Source organism: Homo sapiens, chromosome X, assembly GCF_000001405.40.
Source record: "Homo sapiens chromosome X, GRCh38.p14 Primary Assembly".
Lineage (NCBI taxonomy): Eukaryota > Metazoa > Chordata > Mammalia > Primates > Hominidae > Homo > Homo sapiens.
This window is the reverse complement of record NC_000023.11, coordinates 51,852,109-51,865,223: the sequence shown is the minus strand read 5'-3', so window position 1 is coordinate 51,865,223 and position 13,115 is coordinate 51,852,109. Positions and strand designations below refer to the sequence as shown.

At 37.3% G+C, this 13,115-nt stretch overlaps 1 protein-coding gene and 1 pseudogene across 4 annotated transcripts in view; both read right to left on the bottom strand.

Annotated features, from left to right (window-relative positions):
• The window catches only part of MAGED1 (MAGE family member D1), a 99,279-nt gene that overhangs the window by 37,131 nt on the left and 49,033 nt on the right, over positions 1-13,115 (bottom strand). The window contains exon 2 of one of the 4 annotated variants that reach the window (XM_047442676.1): positions 1-13,115. This exon is cut by the window's left edge and continues 17,297 nt beyond it. The exons of the other annotated variants lie outside the window; for them this stretch is intronic. The gene's annotated coding sequence lies outside the window, so the exon portion shown is untranslated. 4 annotated transcript variants of the gene reach the window in all.
• Positions 7,135-8,326, bottom strand: LOC100631242 (zinc finger protein 852 pseudogene; annotated as a pseudogene).

The following is a 13,115-nucleotide window of genomic DNA, read 5'->3' as shown; positions in this document are numbered from 1 at the left end:
TTCAAGGAAACAAGAAAAAAAATTACAATCTTAAAGAGAAAGAGAAACAAAATTTAGAAATCTTCAATGATAAAAACTCTCAACAAATTAGGTATAAGAGGAATGTACCCAAAGGCAGTAAAGGCCGTATATCACAAGCCCATGGCTAACAACATACTCAATGTTGAAAAGTTGTAAGCTTTTCCTCTAAGATCATGAACAAGACAAGGATGCCCACTCTCACCATTTCTATTCATCATAGTACTGGAGGCCCTAACCAGAGCAATTAGTCAAGAAAAGGAAATAAAATGCATCCAAATTGGAAAGGAAGAAGTGAAATTATATCTGTTTGCAGATGACATAATCGTATATACAGAAAAACCTAAGGACTCCATAAAACAAACTATTAGAACTAATAAATGAATTAAGTTACATAATATACTATCAGCATAGAAAAATCAATAATATTTCTATGTACTAACAATAAATAATCCAAAAGGGAAATTAAGAAAATAATCCCATTTATAATAACATCAAAACCAATAAAATACTTAGGAATAAATTTAACCAAGGAGGTAAAAGATCTGTACACTGAAAACTACAAAACAATAATGGAAGAAATTGAAAAAGACACAAATAAATTGAAAAGTATTCTGTGTTCATGGATTGGAAGAATCAATATTGTCAAAATGTCCGTACTAACTAAAGCAATCTGCAGATTCAATAAAACCCCTATTAATAACTAAAAGCAATCTTGAATAAGAAGAACAAAGTCAGAGGCATCATACTTCCTGATTTCACATTACGTTACAAAGCTATAGTAATCAAAACAACATGGTACTGGCATAAAAACAGACACATAGACAAATAAATAAAATAGCCCAGAAACAAATCCATGCATATACAGTCAACTAATCTTTGACAAAGGCATCAAGAATACATAATGTGGAAAGGATAGTTTCTTCAACAAATGGTGTTGGAAAAACTGAATGTCCATTGCAGAAAAAAATGAAATTGGATCATTATCTTACACACACACACACACACACACACACTCTCTCTCTCTCTCTCTCACACCCCTCAACTCAAATTGGAAATTGGATTAGAGATTTAAATGCAAGTCCTAAAACATACAACTTCTAGAAGAAAACATCGGAAAAGGTCCTTCACATTGAACATGACAATGATTTTTTTGTTATTACACCAAAAAGGCAGGTAACAAAAGCAAACATAAACAAGTGGGACTACATCAAACTACAAAGTTTCTACACAGCAAGGGAAACAATCAACAAAATGAAAAGGCAACCCACAGATTAGGAGAAAATATACACAAACCATATATCTGATAAGGGGTTAATATACAAAATATATAAGGAACTCACATAGTTAACTCAGTAGTTAAAAAAAAACACACACAAATAACCCAATTTAAAAATGGGCAAAGGACCTGAATAGACATTTTTTCCAAGGAAGACATACAAATGCCCAACAGGTATATTGAAAGTGTTAAACATTTCTAATCTTCAAGGAAATGCAAATTAAAACCACAATGAGATAACATCTCACACTTGTTATGATAGTTATTATCAAAAAGTCAAATGATAACAAGTGTTGGCAAAAAGTGGCAAAAAGTGAACCTTTATACATTGTTGGTGAGAGTATAAAGTGGTACAGTCACTAGCAGAAACAGTATGGAGGTTCCCCCCCAAAATTAAGAATTGAACATATGATCCAGCAATTCCACTTCTGGGTGTATATCCAAAGGAGATAAAATCACTATCTTAAAGAAGCATCTGAACTCCCCTGTTCATTGCTGCATTTTTAGCAATAGTTACAATATGAAAACAATCTAAGTGTCTGCAACAGATGCATTAAGAAATTGTGTGTATACACACACACACATACATACACACACACAATGGAATATTGTTCACCCTTGATAAAGGAAATCCTGCCATTTGCAACAACACAGATGAACCTGGAGGACACTATGCTAAGTGATATAAGCCAAACACGGAAAGACAAATACTGCATCATCTCACTTATATGCTGAATCTTTAAAAAGTTGAACTCATAGAAACAGAGAGTGGATGGGTGGTTACCCAAGGTCAGCCAGTGTGTGGGGGAAGTGGAGAGATGGTCAAAGGATACAAACTTGTGGTTGTAAGATGAGTAAGTTCTGGAGATCTAATGTACAGCATGGTGAATATAGTTAGTAATAATGTATTACATACTTGAAATTCATTAAGAGAGTAGATCTTAAGTATTCCCACAAAAAAGGTAACTGTGAGTTGATGGATATGTTAATTAGCTTGACTGTAGAAATCATTTCCCAATGTATATTTATATCAAAATATCACTTTGAATATGTATACACCTTGAATACGTATAATTTTTGTCAACTATAACTCTGAGAGCTGAAAAGAGAGAAAATGTCACCTGCAATAGAAAAATTAAATTAGACAGATAGGACTTTCATCAGTAACAGTAAATTTCATGACCTCATTCACTAATTATCCCAGAAATGGCTTTACAGTTCTCAGAGAAGCTAAAATCAGTTTTTGACGCAGAACCTCTGTTTTCCTGGGAGACTATCTAACAGGGGCAACAGTACCCTTTTCTCGTACAACTAGGTTTGTGTTCGCTTTTCCATTTTTTCAAAACTAAACAATATGTTGTTTAAAAACATATATACAAGTGATAAAAATATACGAAAACCAAAGAAATTGTTAATACAAAAATCAGGGTAGTATTATCTCTAGGTGGAGGCGGACAGGAAGGTGTGATTGGATAGGGCACTAAAGTACTGATAATGTTCTATTTCTTGTCCTGGTCGGTGGGTCTGGAGGCATTATTTCATTTTTATTATTTTAAATGTAAATAGTAATTCATTCAACAAATAAATGTCTATCATGTATCAGGCACTATTTTAGGCACTGGAAAAACAGAAATAAATAAAATAGATAAAAATGTGTCCTTATGGAGCTCACAAAGTATCCAAGAAATAATAAAACTTTCCAGAGTCCAAGTACAAAAACATACAAACTGAAAGAGTCTACCTACCAGGTATCTAGGACAACAGATATACAAATATCCACACATCATCATGAAAGTTTAGAATATTAGGGATAAAGTGGAAATCCCAAAAGCTTTCAGGATTGAAAACAGCCCAGACTGGATCAAGAGAGAAGGCTCTACAAAGGGGATTTCTAGAAAATAAATATTCTGAATACTCTGACGTTTTTTAGCAGTTACACAAAAATAGACATATGATAGAGCTAACAGAAAAAATAAGGATATTTTGGGAGGCCAAGGCGAGCAGATCACTTGAGGTCAGGAGTTCGAAACCAGCCTGGCCAACATGGTGAACCCCCATCTCTACTAAAAATACAAAAAAATTAGCCAGATATGGTGGGCGCCTGTAATCCCAGCTGCCTGGAGGCTGAGGCAGGAAAATTGCTTGAACCCAGGAGGCAGAGGTTGCAGTGAGCCAAGATCGCACTATTGCACTATAGCCTGGGTGACAGGGCAAGACTCTGCCTCAAATATAAATATATAAAAATACACAGATAAAAGGGAATTATAACTCTAGAAATGATACAAATGTGTTCAAAACAGAAACATAGACACAATTCACTACCTGTCTCTTTAGTGAACAATGTTTGCACAATCACAATAGTATAAACATCATTAACCAGAAAGTATGCTATAGCTATACTAAAAGAATAGAGAAGGTAATTGAGGGAGAAAAAGTGAATTAAATCTTCATCTACCATAATGGGAAGTCAACAGCTAATATCTGAAATAGGTAACTCATGAAATAATGGTATTTAGATAAAAACCAAAAGAAGTAGATTTCAAAGTTGGCTAATTTGCATTCTAGCCTTCAAGTGTTCAAGTCTGGTGGTGAAAAAAAGTGAAGCTAATACTGCTATTTTTTGTTATTTCTTTTTTAAGCCATACATAGGTCTTGCTATAATATACAGTATATTTACTATAATAAAAAAATTCAAAATAAAATGTCTTTTAATTATAAAGGGAGCGAAGGGATATGATGAGAGTTGAGATGTACTAAAATTAATGAGGCCAATAGAATAGATCAAAAGATGGTGGAGCATATAAATGTGGAAACTGAAGCCCCGCCCCACTGTTTGCTTTTTATTCTTTTGCAACATGGGGGTGGGGTCCAAATTGCTCTTGAATTGTAGAAATAATCGAAGAGGAGCTTTACATTTGAGAAATGACCATGAGAAGACCTGGCAGCTCCATTCTCCCAGGTAGGGTGGGAATGGAATTATGAGTCAGAGACCTGGAAGACTGAAGACAAGAGAGGGAAGATTTATGCTGGGACACACTCAGCTTGCCACAAGAGGGCAGAACAAGAATGCTGTATCTCCTCTGGTCCCCCTCCTACCTTTCTTCTGCTGATTCTCAGCTTTGTCTTCCCTCAAAATGCCTAGGTTTCTGAGATTCTGCCTTGGGTCTTTTTTTTTTCTCACTCCACACCACCCTCTCCCGGGGCAATCTCATTGATACTTCAATTAAAACCACCACTTCTGTATTTGATGACTACCAAATTTCTATCTGATTTCTATCTGTAACCCTACTTGCTTCACAGCAGCAGAATGAATTCCGGACTACCTACTGAATAATTCCTCTTGGACACTGCAAAGGTCATTCTTTCCCCACAAACCTGCTCCTTATTCTGAGTTCTCCATGAATGGTTTTTGCAACTTGTTAACCATCCAAGGCAGAAAGACAACTGGGCATCATCCTTGATTCCTTCTTCTCCGTCAGTCCCCCTATATCTAGTCAGTGACCAAGTTCCAAATTTATTGCATATATGGTATTCTCATTTCATTCCCACTGCCTTAACCCAGATTTCAGTATCTACTTTATAAATAGCCTCCTAACTGGTCTCCCTGCACCCAGTTCTCTTTTCCAATCTATCCATCACACTCCTTTTTTTCTTTTCTTTTTGAGACGGAGTCTCACTCTGTCACTCAGGCTGGAGTGCAGTGGCGTGATCTCAGCTCACTGCAACCTCCCCCTCCCAGGTTCAAGCGATTCTCCTGCCTCAGCCTCCCAAGTAGCTGGGACTACAGATGTGCACCACCATGCCTGGCTAATTTTGTATTTGTAGTAGAGACAGGGTTTCACAGTGTTGGCCAGGATGGTCTGGAACTCCTGACCTCAAATGATCTGCCCGCCTCGGCCTTCCAAAGTGCTGGGATTACAGATGTGAGCCAATGCACCCGGCTATCCATCACACTCCTACCCACAGGATCTTTCTTTCTTTCTTTCTTTTTTGAGACAGAATCTCACTCTGTTGCCCAGGTTGGAGTGCAGTTGCATGATCTCAGCTCACTGCAACCTCTGCCTCCCAGGCAGTTCTTTGTTCATGGCTCCTTTCTCCAAATTCAAAGCCAGCAGCATAGCATCTTCTTCCCTCTCTGACCTCTCCTTTAGTCCTCACATTCTCTCTCTATAAGTCTGGTCCTCCTGCCTCTCTCTTATAAGGATCCTTGTGATTACATTGGGCCCACCCTAATAATCCAGTATTATCCCTGCATCTCAAAATCCTTAATTTGATCACATCTGCCGAAGTCCCTTTTACCATTTCAGGTAATATATATTCACAGGTTCTAGAGATTAAAATGCAGACAGTTTTGGGGGGCCATTTATTCAGCCTACCAACTTCAGGTTTTGCAAATTGTGGGCCGCATGATTCTGCAGAATACCATTCACATTATGACCATCAAAGATATCTGTGTTTATTATGACAATTTTCTAGCAAGTGGTAAGAAAGTCTTTTGAGGAAGAGGTATTATTTTACAATTCACACAAAGGTACCATATAAGCCAGCAGAAGCCCCATAATCTAAAGTGATTAATACTATCACAACACAAGTGTAACACATTCATTCCCCAACTGGGGTTGGAGAGGTCTATTATAGAGTGTTAAGATCCTTGCAGAACCAACAATAATATATTTCAATAACATATTTATTAGGTATGTACTACATGCCAGGCGCCATACTAGACACTTTATACCCTTTATCTAGAATCCTTACAACTTGGTACAGTATTATATCCTGACCTAAAAAAAAAATGAGCAAGGTGAGACTCAAAGAGATTTATTAATATAACTAAAGTCACACAGCTAGAAGGTGGTTAAGCTGGCAAATAAACCCAGTTATACCTGAAGGTAGATCCTGAATACTTTCTGGTGTAGCACACTGCCTCCTTGAAGTGAGAAGGTAGAAAATCAATTTATTAATATTTCTTATACCTTGAGTTTCTGAAAGTCACGCTTATTTTTGACTCAGTGCTAGAGTACTGCATATTCCTGAAGCAATTTCAAATTCAAGTTCCTCTGAATACTGGGTGATACACAAGCAACCTATAGCTAAATCCATCTGGGGAGAAAATCATGCCACATACCCTAGCTTCTCCACTTCCTTATAGGCTGAATTCTACTTTATTTTGGCTTGTTTGGTTATAATTCCTAGAATGACCTGACTCTGTTCCTGAAGCTCTCACCACATCTGTCCTCTCCATTCCTACTCAATCTTTTTAAGAACTGGGTAACTCTACCTTGTTCCTGATGGTGAAGCTATCCTGGCCAATCCCAGAGCCTGTGCTTTCCATCCCACTCCACGTTGTCTACACCACAGAAAGTGGTTAGGGTGAGCATTTGAGAACAGAATTTTGTTATTAATGAAATCTTTCAAGATTGGAAGTAATCCCTATTCAAAGGGATAATATAAATATGATAAAGTCTTTATAGTCCTTACTAAATTTGATAGAACCCAATGTAGAGTCTCTAATTCCAAAACTGACTGAAGGCTCCCAATACTCACTGAAGAGTGAATCCTGATTTCTGAAGGAATTTCTTAATAATGAATAAAGACTAACACATCCTTGAAGATTTACATATTGCCACTATAAACCCAGAACAATTAAACTCTCTAGGACTCAAACCCTGGCTCTTCCAGTGACTAGTATGTGATCTTGGGGAAGTTTTTCCACCTCATTTCTTTGGTTTCTTCATGTGTGTGTAAAACAACGAGGATTTCTACATTGTATGATTATTGTAAAAAAATGATTAAACAATGTAAAGTTCTTGTAGTGCTTGGCACACTGGCAGGCGTGTAATTATGTGGTAACTATTTTAACTTTTACAAAGAATCTTTTTTTCATTTTTACCAAGACGTGATTTTCTCATAAAGACTTTCCCACACACATTACATTAATAAGATTCCTGCCACTCTGTATTTTCTGATGCTGAGTAAGATTAAACTTCAGATTGAAGGCCTTTCCACACTCACTGCATTTAAGCGAACTCGCTATAGACTTGCCAATATCAAATAAGGCTGATATCCTGCTGAAAGCATACCCATAATTTTTTACGTACATAGAAGGTGATGCCTTTATGAATCCTCTGATAATGAATAAGACTTAGCCTCTAATTGAAGGCTTATTCATTACAGGTACAGAGTGTCTGTCCACTATGAATCTGCAGATGATGAACAAGGATTGATTTCTGTTTGGAGGTTTTTGTATATTCATTGTAAAAGATTATCTTTGATGACAAATAAAATTTGAGCTCTAGATTAAAAACATTTCCATATTCATTACACTGAAAGGATCTCTTTCCATCTCCGCTATAAATTTTCTAATGTTTTTGAAGGTCTGTTATCTCCAGATACCCTTTCCCACATTCATCATTGCATAAGGTTACTTTCCACTATGAATTCTCTCATGTTTAGTAAAGTCTGAGCTGGATCTGAAAGCCTTTCCACATGCATTATGAGCATAGGGTTGTTCTCCACTATGAATTCTCTCATGTTAAAAAAAACAGTCTGAGTTTGTCTTGAGGCCTTTCCCACAGTCAGTACACTCATAGGGATTCTGTCCAGTATAAACTTTTGCATGATTCAAAAAGCTTCATCACCCACTGCAATTTGTCCAGCATTGGGAAAGTTTTTCTACCCTATGAAATTTCTGGTGTTGAAAGAGAATCATGTCCTGCCTTTCCACATTCTTATGGCCATAACAAATCAATGAATTCTCAGGTGTGAGTCCTCAGATGGTAAGTAAGACTGGCATCATGATTAAAAATTTCTTTATATTCACTACATTCACAGCATTCATAGGGTTTCTCTTTATCATGAGTACTCTGAGGTACCTCCCTTGAACACTGACAAAGGGCTTTTTGACATTAATCACATACATAAGACTTTTCCCCATGAGAACCTCCCCAGTGTCTCACAAATTCTAAAACCTTTGCAAGAGTTATGGTCATGTGAATCATATCTCTGTGCTTTTTTTCCTAGAAGATTCCCATATATAATATGCATCTAGCTTGCCTTTCCTCAGTTAATTCACTCACAGCCTTTCTCTTCAGTAGTATAAGTGGCAGTACTGTGCCTGTAACAAATTTCCCTGCGTAAGGAATACATTCAACTCTTCCCTGCCAAGCTTTCCTGCAGCCATTCCTTTACCTATATGTCATCACATGCCAAGTCTTCTCCAAAGAAGAGACTCAGACCAATAGTCCTTGGATTCTGGATCCATAACATTCTTTGGAATTTCACTTTTTCTGAAATTTCCCTCTTTAGAGTAGAACTCACTCTAAATCATAATCTTATCACCTAAAATGATAGACTCACATACATAAATGGGCAAAGAACATGAGTAACAGTTCACAAAAAAGGAAATGCAAACAGATTAATAAATACATGAAATATTCCATTTTGTTAGTCATCAATTAATGTAAAGTGAAACAACCATGAGAGTTTATTTTTCCTTTCTCATTCCCACCAGCAGCTTATATGAATGCCTAACTGACTATTCTCCTTCCTGGTATGAATGTAAATTAGTACAATTTTCTGGAAAACAATTTTGCAGTATGTAATTAAAAACCAGAGAATAGTCATACCTTTTGACCCAATAATCACTCTTCAAGCAATCTATTCCAAACAAATAGTCAGATATCCAAACATCCATGTACAAAACTACTTATGGAAGCATTTATATTAGTGAAAAAATGAAAACACCTGAAAGGTCCAAGAATATGAAATTGATTAAGTAAATTGTGGTATATTTTAATGATGGGATATTATGTAGTCATCAGAACTATTGTCAAAGAATTGTTATCGACAAGTGGGAATTCTTAAAAGATAACTTTTAGAGAAGAAAGCAGGTGTTATGGGCTGAACTGTGTCCCCTCAAAATTCATACGGTGAAGTCCCAACCCCTAGTACCTCAGAACGTGACTACACTGGAGACAAGATCTTTAAAAAGGTAGTTAAATTAAAAATGACATCATTAGTGTCTAGTTAGGTAGTTAAATTAAAATGACATCATTAGAGTTCTAATCCAACATGCCTGGTGTCCTTATAAGAAGAGGAGATAAGCCCGGTGCGGGGGCTCATGCCTGTAATCCTAGCACTTTGGGAGGCCGAGGCGGGCAGATCATTTGAGGTCAGGAGTTTGAGACCAGCCTGGCCAACATGGTGAAAACCCGTCTCTACTAAAAACACAAAAATTAGCCGGGCATGGTGGTGGGCACCTGCAATCCCAGCTACTCAGGAGACTGAGGCAGGAGAATTGCAAAAATAAAATAAAAAGAAGAGGAGATAAAGACAGAGATATACAGAGAAGGAAAACCATGTGAGGACACAGGAAGGAGAAGACGGCCATCTACATGCCAAGGAGAGAGGCCTGAGAAGAAACCAACCCTGCCAGCACCTTGATCTCAGACGTCTAGCCTCCAGAATTGGGAAAAAATAAATTTCTATTGTTTAAGCCACCCAGACTGTGGTACACAGTCCTAGCAAATGATACAAAACTGTATATACTGAAAAGAAATATATCAATTACTGAATAGTATTTATCTCTAGTTAATAAAACTGTGGGTCACTTTTATTTCCTTCCTAATAAAGTTTTGTTGTTCTCTAAAATCTTCAAAATGAGCATGTCTCTACTTTTATAATGTAAAATACGTAAAAAAGGAAGATATCCATAACTAAACAGCTTAAAAAATAATACACAGAAAAACATAACTTTTACTTAATGAAAAGAAGCTGACAAAATAAGACAGAGAATCAGCTGAGAAATTAAGGCCTGCTGAGACCCAGTGATATGTCTCACTTTGGGGTGGCCTCCCAAATCAGGGAGAGAGGGACATGAAGAAACAAAGTGATATGAGGATGACTGGTTTATCTGGAGGACAATGCAGAGGCAATGAAAAGAGATTAAATTGAGTAGGGAAATGGGAAGATTATCTGAACAAAGGAGGTGTTGACTGTGTAGAACTAGGAGAGGAAAGCAAGGATTGGGAAGAACGTAGACGGTAAGAGATCTTCAGGAGACTGAAGAAGATGATGCAACAGAGGAGAGAGGAGTAACTGGGCATACACACAAATGAAAAATGAACTCTCCTGCCTGGTCTTAGGGCACCCACCAGATGAAAAGTTTGAGGGGGACAACAATAATAATAACTACCACAACCATTTAGTAAGCATGCACCAAACACAAACACTTCACTGAAATACATCATTGGTATTTCACACGGAAACCTTGAAAGTTTGCTATTATTATTCCAAGTTTGTGGATGAAGAAACTGATGGTCAAGAGAGGGAAGCTGACTTGCCCAACATTTTAGAGTTAATATGTAGGTGAACTGATATTCAGCTGAAGTGGGTCTGGCTCCAAAGCTCCTGTATTTGTCACCATGACAAGGTGCCTTGTGGGCATTCACCAATCCAAAATCTTCAACTATCCCACCACTATACAACTAAACTGTAAGTTCTCTAACCCCTACTTGTATCATTCTCCCTCCTCCTTTCATCTAAAAGGATTGCTTCCCGGGTCACTTTGTCCTTAGCTCTTTCCAAATTCAGCAGGGAATTCATCTAGGTCTTTTGAGGAAAATACTGCAGTTGAAAAGGAAATCAAACTTTATGGTTACAGTTGGATACTGAATGTCCCTGAATTCAGTTCTGAAAGGTACAAGGTGGGTGGTAGAAAGGGATACTTATTTATCAGGACGTCTTAGAAACAGGACAAGGACCTTGTGAAAAAAGCACAGAACTGTGTGTGCTTCCAAGAGACAGGGAGATAGATGGTCTTGACCTTGAGAGATAAAACTCAAGGAAGAAAATCACGAGTCATTTACCTGCTTCCTAAAAGAAAGAAGTTCCAGAACCCAGGAACAAAAACTGACACAGTGTAGGTTTCAGGGTTGGACAGAGCTGGGTTCAAAGCCCAATATTACCACTTACTTGCTATGTGACCTTGAGCAAGTATTTGTACTTTTCTGAGCATCAGATGTGTCCTCTATAAAACAGAAGAAACAAAACCCAAAAGATAATGAAGTTCTGAGCCTAAATCTAATCTCAAAGAAAATGTAGCAAGGAGTTATAAGAAATGTTTCTAGTTCTGATGATTGCCTGCCACATTATTTGGACCAATCATCAGGTTGAAAACAAATTTTAAAAATCTTGATGAAAGAAAAGTAGTAACACCTACTTAAAAACAATAAAATGGCAGTATGGAAACACTAGGGCAACATTCCTGGGAAATGGGGAACCTAGAGGTAAATAGAGCAGTGAAGCAACTTCTGTCCTAAGGGCATTTGTCTATTCCAAAAATTTCAGCTTTCATTTTGGCTGCCTTGAAAGGCAAAAGAGATAAGAGATTAAAACCCAGAGCTACACTAAGTGGGAAAACTAAGAGGAGACATTCCCAACAATGAGCTGGGACCTCAAAGGGCTACCCCCTAAAGGGGAGGGTGAATGGAAGCAGGCCAGTTTTGCAGCTCAGATTTGGATCACATAACTTGCCCTGGGAACCTTGAGCCTTGAATTAGATAAAGAAGCAAATCAGCAGGATCAGCTGACAACAGAAATGTTCACAAAAAGACTTTAAACAATAGGATTATCAAACACAAACTATAAGACGACTATGTTTACTATGCATAAAGAGATAAATAAAAAACTTGAAGATCTTACCAAGCAACAGGAAGCCATAACAAATGGCAGACCATAATTGAACCTAATCAAACATTTAGAAAAAAAATACAGTACTCAAAATTAAAAACTCAAGGGATAGCTTTAATTAGAAGATTAAGTAGAGAATTTAAATTTAAAGACAGGTAAGACGAAATTATCTGAGCTCAGCAGGAAGATACAAAAGGGCGGAAAGTACAAAAAAGAAGGTAAGAGACTCAAACTGCTCTCATTCATCAAGCAGTAGTCAGGGCTTGTAAGTGGTCACATTAAATCTTCACAACTACTTTACAAGGCACAAAATATAGAATTTCATTGGTAATAAAATCCTTTCAGCTTTTTCTCCATTTCTGCCAGCATAACGAGGACCCAGACATGTTTTTTATTTAAAACTAGCTAAGAAATTCCAGAGCCTAGCTTTACAAATGCAAATCTTCAGAATTAACAAAAGGAAACTCAGAAAGATATGAAGGCTCTGTGCCCGCTCCCCTGCTGCTGTGGAGGCGTGGAAACCATTTTGCTGCACAATAATTTCAAATAATCTGAATTTAAAAAGGCATTAAATTGAGAACTTTAACAAGAATGTAAATCTTGTTCCCCTTTGCAATATGGTGATTTGAGAATATTTGTAACTGTTACCAACTAGTTCTATTCTCTGTTAATACAAATCTTTCCTTGGAAGTATTGTCTAAATAAAGCCATTTTATGACTCCTACAACTTTAGAAATTAATGCCTGTTTCAGTGAAAATAACCTACAAAAGAGATGTGTAATTCTAATTAGGTATTTTACTTGGTAATTCATTAACCTGGTGTGGTAAGCAGAATAATGGTCCTCCCAAGATGTTCAAATCCCAACCCTTGTGAAGATGTTACCTTACATGGCAAATGGGCTTTGCAGATGTGACTGAGTTAAGATTCTGAGATGAAGAGATTATCCTGGATTATCTTGGTGAGCCCAGTGTAATTACTGGGATCCTTATAAGGAGGCAGGAGGATCAGAGTCAGAGGAGAGATGGCAACGGGAGCAGGTCAGAGTCAGAGAGCTGAAAATGCTTTGCTGTTATGTCTGAAGATGGAGAAAGGGAGCAGGAGCCAAGGAAGGTAGGTGGCCTTTAGAAA